We start from the raw sequence: 18,595 nt of genomic DNA on the forward strand, positions 1-18,595 counted from the left end.
ACCCTTTCTGCAGAAGGTATAAAAAATGGCCTTGCTGAGGAAATTAAATTTACGTTCAAGTGCTATTTCTTTACGGCACCAGGGAGCAAGCATTTCAAACACACTGATGGCCCATTCCTGAAGGATCACAAGAAGCTAAAATTCATTACCTGTATAAGGGAGTTTAAGTTAGATTTTCACCCTTTTCATGTTTTCTTACATTTTCTACAATGGGTAAACGATGGAAATAAGAAAAACAATGTTTATGTTTTGAAAATGTCTCAATGGGTCTGCCAGTTCATGTTTTCCATGAGCAGCACTGTGATGCCACGCTGAGATGCTCCAGGGTCCATGCAGTTCAAGAACATGGTCGTGATGTGTTGAAGCAGACCTGTCTTGGTTGTCCCTCAGATCCCAGCTACAGAAGTTAACGATCAACTCAGCATCTGTAATGCACTTCGGATGTCAGCCTACAAGAGCAGACCCAATCAACATGGTTGAGTTCACAGACAACGGTATCTAGGATGTCCGGCACACCCAGAACCTGCACTTAAGCAAACTCGTGGATAGGAAGTCCCCCAAGGCTGCTTTTCTCTAAACACTAGGTTAGGAAAAAAGAAAACTGGGAATACATTTAACCGACTCCATCAACTACATAAGAAAGCACCTTTGAGAGTGAACTTGTGTCTAATCACCACCTTGGGACCTGCCTGCATCTGAAATGAGTGAGTGATCTACAGTCACCAAGGCCCTTTCTGTTTCCCCAAAAATTCCTTTTCTAAACTCCAGCCTATTTCTTCACATTCTACTTCTTATTCAAGGCCTATGCAAATGCTAACCCTCAGTGGAGCCTCCGGCAAGCCCAGTCCCCAGGAAACACGGTCTCCCTCCCTCTTCTTCACCTGCATACCTTCTCTCACAGGAGCCTCTGGAAGTCTCCCTCAGGACCTGGCACCTTCTTGCTACATCATAAATACCTTGAGAGCACGACGCCAGCCTCATTCACCTGTTCCCACAGGTGACATGGCTCCCACCCTGGGACCAAGAGAGTCCACTGTACACATTAAACTTTAGTTTCCTCTTTTTTTTACTTTTTTTATTTTTATTTTTTTTTTTTTTGAGACGGAGGCTTGCTCTGTAGTGCGAGACCACTCAGGCAGGTGGAGTACAGTGGCGCAATATTGGCTCACTGCAACCTCTGCCTCCTGAGTTCAAGCAATTCTCCCACCTCAGTCCCCCATGTAGCTGGGATTACAGGCGTGTGCCACCATATCCAGCTGCTTTTTTTTTTTTTTTTTTGTATTTTTAATAAATAGAGACGGGGTTTCACCATGTTGCCCAGGCTGGTCTCGAACTCCCGACCTCAGAGTGATTTGCCCGCCTCAGCCTCCCAAAGTGGTGGGATTACAGGAGGAAGCCACTGCGCCCGGCCTAGTTTCCTCTTAGGTGGAGTAATCACGTCCACCTCAGAGGATTTGTAAGGGTTAGAAGGGGAAGCAGCCGGGCCGATGGAAACATGCAGGAACTATCCCAGCTGGGCCTATTGCCCTTCATTCTGGAATCTGGCAGAGCTCTGCATGGCATCTCGCATGAAACAGGCTCTAAGTATTTAATGAATAGGAGGAGACATGTCAGACAGTGGGAATAATCATGCTGATCTGCATGAGGAAAATGTGTCAAAAAACAAAAGCCAAAAAGTCACGAAGAAAGTGCTTGTAATAGAGACTAGTTTACTTGTGAGGGCTACGAATAAGTGAAGCTCAAACCACTAGGTGCCAAACATGAAAGTGGGTTCCCAGACCCCAGTGTTTGCTGACTGCAACACAGCGGTGCCTGCAGCTCACAGGGTGCTCCTCCCCGCCTCCCTAGCCCTCCTGGAGACTCCACCCATCACAGTCCCAGGTTCCAGGCAGGCTTCCCAGGCCACTCAGCTGCTGCAAGCACAATGTCCTCCTGAGGTCAACGGGCAGGTGGCAGGAGCCTCTGACCTGCTTCCCTCCACGACATGGGCACGTTCTGGGACTGCAGTTCCACAGTGGTCTCCCATGTCCCTGGAAAGCAGCCGTCCGCCTCTCCTCCACACCTGCCACACTGCTCTCACTCATCAGGAAACTTCTCATCAGAAAAACAGCTCGTGGGCCAGGCACAGTGGCTCCCGCCCGTAATCCCAGCACTTTGGGAGGCCAAGGCGGGCAGATCACCTGAGGTCGGGAGTTCAAGACCAGACTGGCCAACATGGTGAAACCCTGTCTCTATTAAAATACAAAAATTAGCTGTGCGTGGTGGCAGGCACCTGTAATCCCAGCTACTCGGGAGGCTGAGGCAGGAGAATCGCTTGAACCCAGGAGGCGGAGGTTGCAGTGAGCCAGTATCGCACCACTGCACTCCAGCCTGGGCGACAAAAGCAAAACTCTGTCTCCAAAAAAAAAAAAACAAACAACCTTTTGTGGAAAAACGAGTGTATTTTCCACTCCTCGTCTCAATAAAACCTGCGAAGACTGCTTTCATATACAGGAGTCGTGTTTTATGACAAAGGCTCCATCAAGGATGCTGTAAAATTACACACAGCCATCTCCATAATATATGGCCCCGAGAGTTACACACATGAGGTTATTGAGTTATTTTTCAAACGTCCAGACTCCTCATTTCCAATTAAGGCAGGTTGGCTGTAGCACTGTTGGAAAGCCTAAAGCTTTGTTTGCAGCCAATTCAGAGGCGACAGTTTTTCCAAGGCTACTTAGAGCTGATGAGAGAACCCCCTGTTAAAAAGATCTCCAAACCAGCAAATACATCACGGTATGATTTTAAGTCACTGCAATCCAGATCATCTTAAAAGTTCTGCAGGATTTGGAAAAACAAAGACAAATTATTAAACCAAGTGACCAGGCTGAAGCACAGGACAAGATGAAAGAGGGCCAAGAACAGGCAACACCACCACTCAAACGATCCAAGAGACTCCTGGTCTAAAAAGTTAGAGGCTTGGTCAATTTTAAGGCAGCGTCTTAACAGAAAGAATTATGCAAGCCAAGTAAACTGGCTGAGCCCCAGGGAAGGGCTGCGTACTGCCAGAGGAATGGGCTGGACTCTTTCCAGCTCCGTAATCCTGGGAGCAGCGTCGGTGTGGAAGGAACCCTGACGGCAAGCTGTTACATAAGAGCCCAGTCCTGCACTGCGGGGACATGGTCCGCTTGCTACTGGCATGCAAAGATCAAAGAGAGGAGACAGCGCTGGGATGCCAGCCCACGGCTGGGACACGTGCTGCTTCTGTGAGCATGCGCCCAGGAACAGACGCACAGACCCACCCGAACGGGGAACCGAATCTTACTTGTCCATGAGAATCCCAGGAGGGGACCAATGGGCCATCACATTGGAACCCTCTGAAACTGCACACACATTTGCAAGCATAGGTATCAGGGGAGGTAAGTGATACAGACTCTTCTAAGGGTGTGAAATGTTTGAAAAGTTGTCAATAAGCACACAGACTGACCTGATTCATTCAACAACATTTTCTCACCCAGCACACAGACTGAATAGCTTGGTACACTTGCTTCCCAGGTGTAAAACTACCTGCTTAATAACAATGCCTTCTCAGCTGGGTGACACCGCACTGATGAGCCAGTTCACTGGAGGACTGCTGGGGTGGTGCGGCAAGACTGTTTCAACGCACTACGTCCCGAGCACGCAGCATTCATCTTGTGCATATCCTTCATGACAAAACAAGTATGCACAAAGCACTGCTGCCGCACACCAGACACAGCGGCCTCTGGACAGGAAGCACCAATCTTCAGTCAAAGAATGACCGACCGACATGCAAACTCTGGTTGTTCGGACATGAGTACTGGCAGATCATTTCTAAAAAATGAAGGAAAGACAGCTGCAAGTTCAGCCAGAACACCTCAACAACTTGTTGTCAATGTGAAAATTCAAGCTTTCAAAGATAAGAATTTTGGAAAACTCCAAGAGCAGACAGCTTCTGAAGAACTAAAAGTCTCCCTGGAAGAGACAGGTGCTGCTTTCTGATGTAGTAAAATCAAGTGGATCCACGTCGGGAGATGCACACGAGTCCCGGGCACCCAATCGGCCCTTGGGTGCACACTGTGTGCTGACCTGGGTCACCTCCAGATGTGGACACACAGGCACACTCCCACACACACGCGACGGAGCCGCACTCGCCGCAAGAGAGACCAAAGGGAAGCCCTGAGACTCCCCTGCTGCTGGAAACGCTCACAGCACAAACACCTGCTGGGTTTTGGTGTCGTATCAATGAAAATCTCCATAATTATATCAAAAAGCTATTTATTAAAAATATGCTTCCATTTTCCCACTAGATTTTTTTTTTGTATACTTCAACTAGAACAACATATTTACCACAGACTGATGCAGGAACAGCGAGGAGAACCCTGCTGTCTTCTATGAAGCCACACATTAATGGGGTTTGTACAATTTTAAGGAAATGCTCCTCTAATTGCTATTTGTTGTTGTTGCTGTTGTTTTTGGGACGGAGTTTTACTCTGTCGCCCAGGCTGGAGTGCAATGGCGCCATCTTGGCTCACTGCAACCTCCGCCTCCCAGGTTCACGCCGTTCTCCTGCCTCAGCCTCCCGAGTAGCTGGGACTACAGGTGTCCACCACCACACCCGGCTAATTTTTATATTTTTAGTAAAGACGGGGTTTCACCATGTTGGTCAGGCTGGTCTCAAACTCCTGACCTCAGGTGATCCAGCTGCCTCGGTTTCCCAGAGCACTGGTGGGATTATAGGCATGAGCCAGGGGACTTGACCAGATCACTAATTTTTTATACTGGAAAATACAGGATTTTTTTTTTTTTAAAGAATGTGCTGCTTATATGCAATGGGCTTATTATTCCTGTTGTTAATTGGAATTGGTATACAGACATTTTCCAATCCTTCAGGTTTCAACTGGCAAATGCCAGCAGACATACCCACAGAGCCAGAGCTCCTCAGGCTCCTCCACGTCCAACGGCGTCTCACAGTCCTGAGGATGAGGACCTGGGTGAGGGGAGCACGGGAGACACAGCCATCAAGGCATCCACCTCCAGGACAGACACCAGCCAAGAACCCCCTCAGGGCAAGGCCTCTCACAAGTCCAACTCCACGGATTCCACCGTAAGTGCTGTCAACTGGATGCGCATTTACAAAATCTGAGTTTTCTCAAAGAAGCTGAAGCTTTCCGTGTCCTCAGTGATTCTGGACTCCCAGCGCCGTACCACTCCCTGCCAGCCACACAGGGGGACCCACAGGAAGCAGGCCTTCCCCGTGGCGGGCCTTGCTGCTATCCGCGCTCCTTTCTGTGCAGTCGTCCCTGACGGGGAAGGGTTGAGCCCAGCCAAGTGGATCCCTGGCTGCAGGACAAAGGTGTGCATGGCAAGGGGCCCACCTGCCTCAGGCTGAGGCATAAACTTTCCCTTTTCACTCAGGAAGGGTAAGACACAGTTCCCAGTTTTACAGTGTGCTTTTGTGGATGCTGACCCGGTACTGCTCTTGGAATGTCAAGATGAAGATGATGCAGAAGCCTCTCCTCTGAGCATCTTCTGATTGACAGGCAAGGGACTGGAGTGGAGCCCTTGGCAGCAGGCGGTGGCCAGGGACAAGCGGCCCGTGCCACGTCTCCCAGCTAGCTCACCACCAGCACACAAACCTTCGTCCTGGGCATGGGACTCTCCATCCCTGGTCAAAGCAGGTGCCTCGGGTGGCAACACAGGACCCTCAGACACTGATCTCCTGTTGTTGAATCGGTGCAATATTCACCCACCAAAAACAACCACAAAGCGCCTGTCACCAGTGACAATGTAGCACTGTCTATGTGAATAAAATTAAATTGTGTTTGGAGAATCTGGTGACGCTGTGAAACAGCTGAAGATTACCTGTAACCTCAGCGCTCTGGGAGGCTGACAAGAGGGACACTGTGAAACAGCTGAAGACTACCTGTGACCTCAGCACTCTGGGAGGCTGACATGAGGGACACTGTGAAACAGCTGAAGATTACCTGTGACCTCAGCACTCTGGGAGGCTGACATGAGGGACACTGTGAAACAGGTGAAGATTACCTGTGACCTCAGCACTCTGGGAGGCTGACATGAGGGACACTGTGAAACAGCTGAAGACTACCTGTGACCTCAGCACTCTAGGAGGCTGACATGAGGGACGCTGTGAAACAGATGAAGATTACCTGTGATCTCAGCACTCTGGGAGGCTGACAAGAGGGACACTGTGAAACAGCTGAAGATTACCTGTAACCTCAGCACTCTGGAAGGCTGACATGAGGACTGCTTGAGCCCAGGAGTGTGAGACCAGCCTGGGCAACACAGGGAGACCCCATCTCTTAAAAAAAATTTTTTTTTAACAAAACAATAAAAAAACAAAAATAGCTGGGTGTGTTGGCACCTGCCTGTGGTTTCAGATACTCAGGGGGCTGAGGCAGGAGGAAGGTTTGAGCCCGGGAGGTTGAGGCTGCAGTGAGCTATATGACTGTGCCACTGCACTCCAGCCTCAGTGACAGAGAGAGATTGTGTGTCCAAAAAAAAAAATCCCAATACACTGTTAGTGTCTCAAGCCCAGGTTAGAAATTACTCGTCTAGTCTCTGACAGAAAAATCAGGTGGGCTAAGCAAAGGTGCTTTCTGGCCCAGGAGTACAGATGCAGTGGCAGGCACATGGCTCAGCTGGCTGTGCACAGCCACCCAGGATCCTGGGGCAGTCTCTGGACAAGGCCTCAAAGACCCCAGACAGACTCCCATCATCCCTCTCTCCCATCAGCATCATCAGTTTTTTAAAATTGTTAACAAGCTCCATGCTCTGTGAGACGCAGTTTCCAAGCAAGGCATTTTCAGTGTTGCCTCAACAGAAACTGCATCATCCCTGAACACTGACCTCCTGTCACAGCCCAGGTGGCTCCGAACACGGAGCAGGAGCATGATGACACAGCACGAGTCCACGCAAGGACACCTCCTCATCAAGACAAGTCAGAGGCAGAACCGAGTTCAGGGGCCAGTGGCTGGCTTTGTTTATTCTTCATTTATCCGTAAGAGAAGCCCAGAGAGACAACTACAAGTGACCCAAGACACTCATAGGTGAGTGGATTAAACACCCGGCGTCCATCCAGACAACAGAATATTACCAGGCCCTGAAAAGACAAAAAAGGACCATAGACGCATGCTGCTGAGTGAAAGCAGCCCGTCTCCAAGGACTACACGCTGTACGGTTCCGACTCTGACATCCAGGAAAGGGCAAAACCGTGCAGACAGCACAAAGATCAGCGAATGCCAGGGGCTGGGGAGAGGGAGGGACGGAGGGATGTGCAGCAGGAACACGGGGGACCTGGGGCAGTGAAACTACTCTGTATGATACCACAACGGTGGGTCCACATCAGGATACGTTCATCCAACCATAGACTGCACAGCACCCGGTGGACCCTGAGGTCGTGCGGCCTGTGGGTGATGATGACACTGTCTCCAGGGCGGTCGCGACTATAACAAATGGCCGCTCTTGTGGGGATGCTGAGCCCAGGGGTGCGGGGGAACCCTCTGTAATTTATGTTCTATTTTGCTGTGAACCTAAAGCTAATATAAAAAATAAAGTCTACTTTTTTTAAAGTGACCATCCTGTCAGAAAGACAAAATGGTCCCAGAGCACAGGGCTTGGATTCACACAGCACAGAATCGGCTCCCAGAGCACAGGAAGGTCCAGTGCACCAGGACCAAGAAGCAGAGTAAGCCGAGTGACACAAGAGAGGGCAGCCTCTGCCCCAGGCTTCCTGCGCTGGGGGCCGGTCATCTGCTGCCCCAGGCTTCCCTGCGCTGGAGGCCGGTCATCTGCTGCCCCAGGCTTCCCTGCGCTGGGGGCCGGTCATCTGCTGCCCCAGGCTTCCCTGCGCTGGGGGACGGTCATCTGCTGCCCCAGGCTTCCCTGCGCTGGGGGACGGTCATCTGCTGCCCCAGGCTTCCCTGCGCTGGGGGACGGTCATCTGCTGCCCCAGGCTTCCCTGCGCTGGGGGACGGTCATCTGCTGCCCCAGGCTTCCCTGCGCTGGGGGACGGTCATCTGCTGCCCCAGGCTTCCCTGCGCTGGGGGACGGTCATCTGCTGCCCCAGGCTTCCCTGCGCTGGGGGACGGTCATCTGCTGCCCCAGGCTTCCCTGCGCTGGGGGACGGTCATCTGCTGCCCCAGGCTTCCCTGCGCTGGGGGACGGTCATCTGCTGCCCCAGGCTTCCCTGCGCTGGGGGACGGTCATCTGCTGCCCCAGGCTTCCCTGCGCTGGGGGCCGGTCATCTGCTGCCCCAGGCTTCCCTGCGCTGGGGGATGGTCATCTGCTGCCCCAGGCTTCCCTGCGCTGGGGGCCGGTCATCTGCTGCCCCAGGCTTCCCTGCGCTGGGGGCCGGTCATCTGCTGCCCCAGGCTTCCCTGCGCTGGGGGATGGTCATCTGCTGCCCCAGGCTTCCCTGCGCTGGGGGCCGGTCATCTGCTGCCCCAGGCTTCCCTGCGCTGGGGGCCGGTCATCTGCTGCCCCAGGCTTCCCTGCGCTGGGGGATGGTCATCTGCTGCCCCAGGCTTCCCTGCGCTGGGGGCCGGTCATCTGCTGCCCCAGGCTTCCCTGCGCTGGAGGCTGGTCATCTGACGGGAACCCCTGCAGCCACCTGGACCAGCTGCACACACCTTGGACGCCTGTCGCCCTCCACCCTCTGCAGACACCCTCTCACAGGCTCCACCCTGCTCGGGTTCACAGACACATCCCCCGTCTGCCCCGGGGCTGCCTGGCATGGCACCCAAGACCAAGATGGAAAGGGAGGCCCCGCGTGTGGGTGGACAAATCCACAACACGCTGGCCCTCAAGTTGTCTCAGTAATGTTATATATTTCTCTCTCCCCCCCACCCGCCCTCCCCCTCCCCAGAGGGAGTCTTGTTCTGCTGCTCAGGCTGGAGTGCAATGGTGTGATCTCGACTCATTGCAACCTCTGCCTCCCAAGTTCAAGCAATTCTCCTGCCTCAGCCTTCCAAGACGGCCGCCACCACGCCCGGCTAACATTTGGATTTTTAGTAGAGACCGGGTTTCGCCATGTTAGCCAGGCTGGTCTCGAACTCCTGACCTCGTGATCCACCCACCTTGGCCTCCCAAAGTGCTGGGATTACAGCACGAGCCACTGCGTCTGGCATTAAATTTCTCTCTTGATTATGCAGCCACTAAATATCACGCTGGGATAATGGGAAATTAATGCTAAGCTTTAAAATGCAGAATGTGAAGCCTTATATCCAGAGTAATCCTTATTTTGTAAAAAGTACATGATATATTCAACATTTTAGATTTACATGTTTTATCTTGGGTGGAAGGATTACAGGCGATTTTTACTTTCTTCTCTATGCTTTATTTACTGGTGTTATGAGTTGAAATGTGTCCCCCAAGAATGGTATGTTGAAGTCCTAGCCCCCCAACACCACAGACGATGGCCTTCCTGGGAAACATGGTCTTTGCAGATGATCCAGGTGAGATCGCTAGGGTGGGCCCTCACCCCACAGAACTAGCTTCCTTCTACAAAGGGCAGACGTGGACACTGAGCTGTGCACGCAGGGAGAACGCTGGGTGAAGAGGGAGGCGGAGATCGTGGTGATGCGTCTACAAGCCCGGGCGCACCAGAGACTCCCCCATCCCCCAGAACCCGCCGGGCACACCAGAGACTCCCCCATCCCCCAGAACCTGGAGAGAGGCCTGGAGCAGATGCCCGCCCCCACCCCTCCAGCACCGCAGAAGGAACCGGCCCTGCAGACAGCTTGGTCTCAGAGCCGTGGGAGAACAGATCCTTGCTGTGAAAGCTCCTGGTCTGTGGTGATTTATCACGGCAGCCCCGAAAGACCCCCACACCAAGTTTCACTCTCTGTCCATGGACCTCTTTAATGGAAATCCTGACTTTTCCATAAGGCACTGAATCTGTGTAACTTTTAGAGTAAGGAGGACGACCTACAGTTCACTGCATGAAAGCACAGCCCTTCCAACAAAGGCAGGCGAAATGTGGAACCAATTATATCTGGGTGCCTACACGTGACGTACGCCAGTTCTTTGTAGAAAGAACGAGGCTTGTCTCAGCGATACTAATGTACAGTTCACATGAACTCCTAACCTTAGCCAGCCACAATAAGGTATCTGGGATTGAGCGCTTATTTAAATCGGTAGGCACATCAATTTAAATTTAGGTAGTAGCTCAGCCTGTACCTAACACATGAGGAAGCCGAGGCGGGAAGATCGGTTGACTCCAAGAGTTCAAGAGCATCCTGGGAATGACAGGGAGACCCCGCCTCTAGAAAAACATTTAAAAATTGCTGCGTATGGTGCCGCACACCAGCAGAGTCCCAGCTACTCGGGAGGCTGAGGTGGGAGGATTGGTTGAGCCTGGGAGTTCAAGCCTTGAGTGAGCTGTGGGTGGGGGGGGCAGCACTGCAGGGTGAGGTGAAGGGGGTGGTTCTGCGGGAGGAGGTGAGGTGGCTCTGCGAGGTTAGGAGAGGGGGCAGGGGCTCTGTGGGGTGAGATAGGGGGTATCTGCAGGGTGAGGTGAGGGGACAGCTCTGTGGGATGAGGTGAGGTGGGGGTTCTGCGGAATGAGGTTGGGGGGGCGGCACTGCGGGAGGAGGTGGGCGGGGTGGGGCCTGCAGACCCTCCAGGCTCTCCCGGGGGAAGGAGCCCCATCAGGGCCAGCACTGCGCCACTCCCAACAAAGCAGGCAACCTAGCCTGCCAGTGGAGACCTCTTTTCCGCCTGGGCTCCAGCTCTAGAGCAAGGCCAGTCACCTCAGCCCCACCATCAAACACCAGGCTCCACATGGGCACTGCCTCGCTCAACTGCGTGGTGGCGGGTGGCCTGGAACGCTGCTGTCATCACTGCACGTGGACACATCATCAACCTCTCAGCGTGACGTGCCCTCGTGCTTTCAGGTAAAACACTACAGAGAAACTTCCTGTTGGCAGGTGGACCCCGCACTCCCTAGGGCCTGATCCGCTCCCTCTCTTCTGCTTTACGGGCACTGACAGGAAGTATCTGATGCGCACTCACTCACACCAGCCACGCACATGTTGTGAGCAATCCTGTGTGGCCTGCTCCCCCCTCCTGACCGGCCCCTCCTGACTGGCCCCAGCACCGCGTGGAAGAACATGGAGGAGCTCATCTGTCTGAGGATAGGAAGCAGCAGAGCACACGCAGGTGAGGGCAGAGCGGGGAACCCAAGTCCCGAGGAAGTTTCTCAGTAAGCGAGGCCCCGCGCTCTGGGAGGGCACCCCCAGGAAGCCCACACATAAAGCAACTGGACACACGCTCAACTACGACTGGGCAATGACAGTAGCTTAAAAAAAAAAAGTACACCACCAAACAGACAAAGACCAGAGACCACTTACATAAAAGCCCTGCTGCCTCCCCGGGAAGGGATTTCAAAACACTTCTTTAGGTGAGCACGACAGCACGTGCCTTTAATCACAGCTACTCAAGAGGCTGAGGCAGGAAGATGACTTGAGGCCATAAGTTTGAGGCCAATCTGGGCAACAGAGCAAGCCCACCTCTAAAAAAGTAAAAATAAAAAAATTAGGCGGGTGTGGTGACATGCGTCTGGAGTCCCAGCTACTCGGAAGGCTGAGGAAGGGGCATCATTTCAGTCCAAGAGTTGAGGCTGCAGTAAGCCATGACTGCACTCCAGCCTGGTCAACAAAGCAAGACTTGTCTCTTAAAAAAGCAAAACAACAACACATCTTTATATTATAGGGCACAGAAAGGAGCAAGATTATAAAACTAAAATAGGGTGAAAGAATGCAAGAGACTCAGAACTATGGCAAACTTATAACTAAAATTCCAAACTACAGGAAACTCTCAGAGCAAACGCTGCATCACATAAGCTGCTAGCCCGGCACATGATTGTGAAGAATCAGGAGTCCTCTCAGCACCAACAGACAGTCATGGACACAGCCCACAGGTGGCTCGACCCACCAGCCTCAGGCAGCATGGGGTTGAGAGGGGAAGCCCAGTTTGGCCGACTGTAGAACCCTGTTCTAGTCTCCTATCCACCCTCACCAAGGCACTAAATCACCAGCAAAGACTCTGAGAACATCAACATCTGTGTAACTAAGGAAAATGGAAGTGCAGGAAGGAATACATTTTTGTAATCAAAGGGCATGAAAAAAATTGCCTTCACTGAAAACACTGAAAAGGTACAACCCTATTATGTCTCCTGCTAGGAAAAATTTTCCTCTGCTTTTAAAGGATTAATAGCCACAAAATATTATTTTGTTATTCTGGTGTCCTCCAGAAAATGAGCCAACAGTTTGAAGGGTATGGGGTAAAGAGAAGAGAAGGAAAAGCTGCTTTTGAAAACACTGTTGACTCGCAAAGTTACCAGCACTCTATCAGGCTAATGCCTAGGTCAGGAGAAGACAGACGCAGTCACTACTATGGATCCTGAGGGCGAGAAACTCTGGATGCCACAAAGTGGCATGTTCAACCTTCCTACAAGCACACAGAGGTGAAGCCTGGAGAACAGGCAGGGACAGGCCCAGCTGGCCATGTGCTCAGCCACGCCTACCTCGCAAGGTCATTCTGAGGATGAAGGCATCATGGATCCAAATGCCACCTTGACGCTGAATGTACTACACAATAAAAGAACCACTGTAAATCACACTATTGACTCTTGCTTGGTTGATGTTCTTTCCTTTACAGTAAAGTGAACTCGTGGACAAACATCGTGTCCACAGACCACCATAAATGTAGTTTGTTGTTTTAAATAAAACTGAAATCAGACTTCCAAAAAGAAACATCTAAAAACTTCTCCTCTCCCATCCCACCAGAGCCATGGCCCACAACACAGCCCGACGCCCCGTCACACGCTCTCACAGGACAACTGCCCACACCAGTTAACCTGGTGTCACGGTGGAGGCGAGGTTGCGGTGAGTGGAGATCACGCCATTGCACTCCAGCCTGGGCGACAGAGCAAGACTCCATCTCAAAAAAATAAATAAATAAAAAATCTTGTGGAAGGAGGTACCACATATGCGGTCTGTTGTGGAACAAAATGCCGTTACGTGGGGCATGACTGTATTCTGTAGGGCACATTTGCAAAACAGCTCCTCTAGTCACATAGGTAACTGTTTTTGAGACAAGTTCTGGCTCTGTCACGCAGGCTAGAGTGCAGTGGTGTGATATGAGCTCACCGTAGCCTCGACCTCCTGGGCTCAGGCGATCCTCCCACCTCGGCTTCCCCAACTAGCTGTGACTACAGGCACGTGCCACCACACCTGGCTCATTTTTTTTTTTTTTTTTTTTTGGTAGAGACAGGGTTCTCACTATGTTGTCCGGGCTGGTCTCGAACTCCTGGGTTGCAGCAATCCTCCCGCCTCAGCCTCCCAAAGTGCTGGGATTACAGGCCTGAGCCGCCATGCCCGGCTTTCTAGGTAACTTTCCTATCAGCCTTCCTGACTGCTGCAGATAAGGCATGTTCTCACAGGGACAATTCAGGAAATGCACCAAAGCGTCCTCAAGGCCTGTCCACGAAGCTCCTCCTTCCAGCCAGACCCTGGGGCTTAGGGGTCAAATTCCTCACACCTTCCCCCAGCGCTCCTCACAAAGGATGCACTGCAGTCAATCCCAACTTAGCTCCAGCAAGAATAATCCCAGCACTTTGGGAGCCAACGCCGGCAGATCACCTGAGGACAGGAGTTCGAGAGCAGTCTGGCCAACATGGTAAAGCCCCGTCTCTACTAAAAAGACAAAAACTTACCGGGCGTGGTGGCACACACCTGCAATCTCGGCTACTCAGGAGGCTGAGGTGGGAGAATCACCTGAACCCCGAAGGCAGAGGCTGCAGTGAACCAAGATCGCATAACTGCACTCCAGCCTGGGTGACAAAGGGAGATTCCATCTCAAAAAAAAAAAAAAAAAAAACCTTCAGCCAGAAAATCACCAAAGTCCTAAGTCTGGTTATGCCCTTTGTTTTCTATTTCTTAATAATAAAAACACAGCAAGGGGTTTGGTGCTGTGAGCAAGGGGCTCTCTGAGAGTCGGCACCCACACGTGCTGGTCTCCAGGACAGACATGTCTCAGGCCAACGGCACTGACAGAAGCACAGACCCTCACTGCCAGGTCACGGCGGGCACGGGAAACCCACACCTGGGCCTCGGCCACACTCCTGAGGGCGACAAAACACCAGCCGGCGCGCTCTGAGACTTGCGGTCAGTCCTAGAGGAGAAGCAGCAGCTGCTGAGAAGGCCGCACGGGCAAAGGAGCCACCGTGCACCGTGACAAGACAACATGTTCGTTGGCCATGCCCGGTGTCAGCACGCAGACACACAGGCACCAGAGGCTGCAGCGAGGAAGACAGATGTGCTTCCCCAGTGCTTATGGTCTGGGTGGGGACAGAAAAGAGACAAGGAAGGCCCAGGGCAGGACATCAGACACAGGGTTTTAGTTAACCAGGACTGTGATGCCGGCATCTGCCTGGAGGAAGGAAGGACAGACTTCTGAAGAAGATGGACCTCAGTGCCTCCTTCACGCTGATAAGCGATCCCACCAAGCATGACCCACAGCACAGGACAAAGCCTTGTGTCCAGGACAGGGTGCCCTCCGGGAGGCAGCAGAAAGGACAGCTGTGGAATATGGAAGGGGAAAAGGAAAAGGGAACAGGAGACAAATCAGCAACATTAAGAACATCAGGCCGGACGTGGTGGCTCACGCCCATAATCCCAGCACTTTGGGAGGCCAGGGGAAGGGGGAGCAGATCACTTGAGGTCAGGAGTTTGAGACCAGCCTGGACAATATGGTGAAACCCTGTCTCTACTAAAAACACAAAAAATTAGCCGGACATGGTGGCAGGCATCTGTAACCCCAGGTACTCGGGAGGCTGAGGCTGGTGAAGCCCAGGTACTCGGGAGGCGGAGGAGGCGGTGAGTTGAGACGTGCCACTGCACTCCAGCCTGGGCAACAAGAGCGAAACCCCGTCTCAAAAAGATAAAAAAAAAAGAACACGCAGACAGAAAAGAATGACCTAAGAAGGCACACGAGGAACATCAGCAAAGGACTGACAGAAAAAGACTCATATTTTTATATAAGGAACACGGGGGGAAAAAGAAAAAAAAATTAAAAGGAAAAGATGAATAGATGATATGGCCAGAGGTTTAAAGAAAGAGACAACGAGATAAAAGCAGGAAGCCCCAGCAACACTGGGCTGCCTCCCCAGGCCCTTCCCAGCATTTCCTGCCAGCAGGGCCCCTGCCCCAAGCCAAAAAGGAACCACGTTCGCCTCGTCAGGGCTGTTGCACGACAGCCGCACACACCTAAGAAACAAACTCCTTCTGGGCCGCGCAACATGGCTCACACCTGCAATCCAAGCACTTTGGGAGGCCGAGGCAGGTGGATTGCTTGAGTTCAGGAGTTCAAGACCAGCCTGAGTAACACGGCGAGACGCCGTCTCTATCAAACACACATACACACACACACACACATAGACACACACAGAATTAGCCAGGCATTGTGGTGTGCCCCTGCAGTCCCAGCTACTTGAGAGGCTGAAGCAGGAGGATCGCTTGAGCCCAGGAGGCAGAGGCTGCAATGAGCCGTGATCCGGCCACTGCACTCCCACCTGAGTGAGAGTCAGATCCTGTCTCCCTCCAAAAAAAAAAAAAAAAAAAAAGAAGAAGAAGAAATATTAACTCCTTTGTCCACATAGTAAAACTCAGTCTTCCATTAACTTCAAAAAGCCAAACTGATAAGTTTTTAAGTAAAGAACAAACACATCTATAGCGAAGTGTGGAAAATCACTGTGGTCACTCCCCAGCTACAGCTGCCATGCAGTGGTAGTGCCCCTGCCCTCAAGCTGGTCCCAGACTCAAACAGGAAGCCACTGCACATGTGTGACCACTGGCCAGGCAAAGAGAGGCCAAGACAGCTCGAAGGACTTGCGCATGGCCCCAGAAGGCTGCACTATGTGGCAAGCACTGGATGCATACAGATACTCGGCCAAGAAACTCCCTGAGAGAGCTCACACCAGCGCTGTTCCCTCAGAAGCCCAGTTCTCCACCCTAGAGAAGTGGCAGCCCTTCCACATTCACTTTAGCCTTGGGCTACCACAGACATGGTGACCAGGACAAAGAGGCGTGAAGCTGGCAAAACCACCAGGTTTGATGCACAGAAAGGCCAGCATCAGCACCCAGTTGCCTGGGCAGAGGAGGAAGAGGATGGCAGGTACACAGGCCGTTAGAAACGGCCTCACCCTGACCCTGAGCGTGGTGGCAAGTGGCCGACCCAGATTCCCTCACCCTGCTCTGGCACACCGCAGGCCAGCTGCATCTGGCAGGAGTGTAACAGCCAGTGCCCAGGCTGACGAGCGTGAGCACTGCCCCACACACACTCAGACCCTCAGGAAGAGCATGAAAGACGTCCCAGCCGTGCCCACAGCTACAGCAGCCCCTCCTCGCACCCCCTGCCACCCTCCCTAGAGTCCAGCGCTAATACAACCACCTCTGGCCTCAGAGTCCCCGGGACTCACTCACTCACTTCACTGATCAGCCGTGGAATCCTGAATTCAAACCCTACTTCCTAAACATCTTTTGAGGCCTACATTCCTCTTGTAATAAAAATAAGGAAAATGCAATTTTCTGGGATTTTGTAGGAAAAAAAGAGAACATAAGTGAAGATATCTAGCAGAGCATGTGCCTCTCACAGACCTTAGGAGTTACTGGGAAATACAAGTGAACAGGCCGCTGTGGAGTGCGGTTTCTAAAAGTAGGAGGAATACAGAAAAGGCGGCCCCAACCCTGCCTCTGGGAGCAAAACCAAAAAGAGCCACAGCCACAGCAGAGAATTCAGAAAAGCCACCTGCACAAAAGGCCAGAGCAGCCAAGGGAAGCTGGGGGCCCAGGCCAGTGAGCCCTGGGGCCAGGTATCAGGCCCCTCAAAGAGCAGAAAACAGATTTTTTAGGTGAAGCCGACGGTCTGAGGAAATGAGATGAGCTCACACACCTGATGACAGCTTCCCTCAGCAATTCCACCCGCCTCCACAGGACTCAGACCAAGTCCTGGTGTTAGAATAAATCACTAGGCTACAAGAAAGCTCAAACCCCCACAGGTTCTAGCACTCCTAGCCACCAACACAACTCTGTTCAAGATCCACCTATCAACAGGGGTGGGGTGGGAAGGCGGTCCCCATCCTCAGGCCATTCTTCCTCCGTGGGTTGCAGCCAGGGTTTCCTGTGGGTCGTCTTGTGCACGTCACGGCCCTGCCCACAGCATAAAAACATACAGGTGTGAGGGAGATGAGCAAGACAGCTAGCTTTTCACAAGAGCAGGAAAGGCTGGGTGCTGCGACTCACGCCTGTAATCACACAGCGTTGGGAGGCAGAGGAGGAAGGACTGCTTAAGGCCAGGAGTTCCAGGCCAGTCTGAGCAACATAGCAAGATCCTGTTGTACCAAAACACACACACACACGAAAACTGGTTGTCGTGTTACTAAAAGTTTCCATTACAACACTGAAGTTTAGAATACAGTATTACTAGGCCAAAATATCCTGGCATTTTATAGGATTTCTTTAACAAAATCTGATCACATCTAAACTGGCATCTTTCTGCTCACTTCTCAATTTCAATCTAAATTTATTTATTTATTTATTTATTTTTTGAGATGGGAGTCTCGCTCTGTCGCCCAGGCTGGAGTGTAGTGGCACAATCTCAACTCACTGCAAGCTCCGCCTCCCGGGTTCACGCCATTCTCCTGCCTCAGCCTCCTGAGTAGCTGGGACTACAGGCGCCCGCCACCACGCCCGGCTAATTTTTTGTATTTTTAGTAGAGACGGGTTTTCACGGTGTGAGCCAGGATGGTCTCGATCTCCTGACCTCGTGATCCGCCCGCCTCGGCCTCCCAAAGTGCTGGGATTACAGGCGTGAGCCACCGCGTCCAGCCTCAATCTAAATTTAAAACACAGTTTGCTGTTCAGCTACAGGGCAGAATTTCACACGGAGCAGGCACCTCACAGATGCCAACCCGGTGGGTACGGCCCTTTGAGTGTCACCTAAAGCCTCATAACATCATCACCAAGCCCATCCCCAAAAGCTGTAGTTAGTAAGCCACCAGGATTTGATATTTAGAAACTTTTCCCACTAACAAAAAACAAGCAAGAATAAATTTTAAACAAAGGCTGACTGTACCAAGGAAATGGAGATAATAAACAGAAAAAGACTCATGGACACTGGTGTTGGGAGTGATGGTCTTAGCCCTCAGACCAGACTAAGACACCCTGCAGAGCTGAGGCTGTCAGGAACCACGCAGAGCCACGGAAGGGAAACACCTGCCCCCGGGCTACAAAGGCCACCCTCTGCCCTCTGCTTACTGCTCTGGTTCTGCCCTCCAGACACAAGCAGGTCCCTAAAGCAGTTGCTATCCTGCTGACGTGCTGACACCATCAGATATGAACAAGAATCCCAGTTTTATTTTTCCTAATAAATAAATCATCCATTTAGCAAAACGTCAACGATACCAAAAGCTATGAAAGCATCCTTGGATTTACAAAGAACCCTCGCTTCTCATTTCCCTTATTTTCCCATGCCCAGGCAGAGAGCCCTCTAAGCCCATGGGAAGCTTAACAGAAGG

The 18,595-nt window shown here is 52.0% G+C and overlaps 2 protein-coding genes across 6 annotated transcripts in view, besides 4 other annotated features; both read right to left on the reverse strand.

Annotated features, from left to right (window-relative positions):
- Positions 1-18,595, reverse strand: part of ANKRD11 (ankyrin repeat domain containing 11) — a 222,932-nt gene that overhangs the window by 124,601 nt on the left and 79,736 nt on the right. The gene's annotated exons all lie outside the window — the stretch shown is intronic.
- The window catches only part of LOC128462377 (uncharacterized), a 101,247-nt gene that overhangs the window by 75,185 nt on the left and 7,467 nt on the right, over positions 1-18,595 (reverse strand). The window lies entirely within an intron of this gene.
- Positions 2,704-3,642: an enhancer, noted in NCBI's record as "H3K4me1 hESC enhancer chr16:89461342-89462280 (GRCh37/hg19 assembly coordinates)". NCBI's record gives its function as "activates a minimal SCP1, AML or CMV promoter by ChIP-STARR-seq in primed H9 embryonic stem cells {active_cell/tissue: H9 hESC(primed)}" and the evidence as "EXISTENCE:reporter gene assay evidence [ECO:0000049][PMID:30033119]".
- Positions 9,158-9,658: an enhancer, noted in NCBI's record as "H3K4me1 hESC enhancer chr16:89467796-89468296 (GRCh37/hg19 assembly coordinates)". NCBI's record gives its function as "activates a minimal SCP1, AML or CMV promoter by ChIP-STARR-seq in primed H9 embryonic stem cells {active_cell/tissue: H9 hESC(primed)}" and the evidence as "EXISTENCE:reporter gene assay evidence [ECO:0000049][PMID:30033119]".
- Positions 9,659-10,159: an enhancer, noted in NCBI's record as "H3K4me1 hESC enhancer chr16:89468297-89468797 (GRCh37/hg19 assembly coordinates)". NCBI's record gives its function as "activates a minimal SCP1, AML or CMV promoter by ChIP-STARR-seq in primed H9 embryonic stem cells {active_cell/tissue: H9 hESC(primed)}" and the evidence as "EXISTENCE:reporter gene assay evidence [ECO:0000049][PMID:30033119]".
- Positions 12,809-12,858: an enhancer, noted in NCBI's record as "active region_11409". NCBI's record gives its function as "activates an Ori minimal core promoter by ATAC-STARR-seq in GM12878 lymphoblastoid cells {active_cell/tissue: GM12878}" and the evidence as "EXISTENCE:reporter gene assay evidence [ECO:0000049][PMID:35858748]".

The sequence above is a fragment of the Homo sapiens genome, chromosome 16 (genome assembly GCF_000001405.40).
Source record: "Homo sapiens chromosome 16, GRCh38.p14 Primary Assembly".
NCBI lineage: Eukaryota > Metazoa > Chordata > Mammalia > Primates > Hominidae > Homo > Homo sapiens.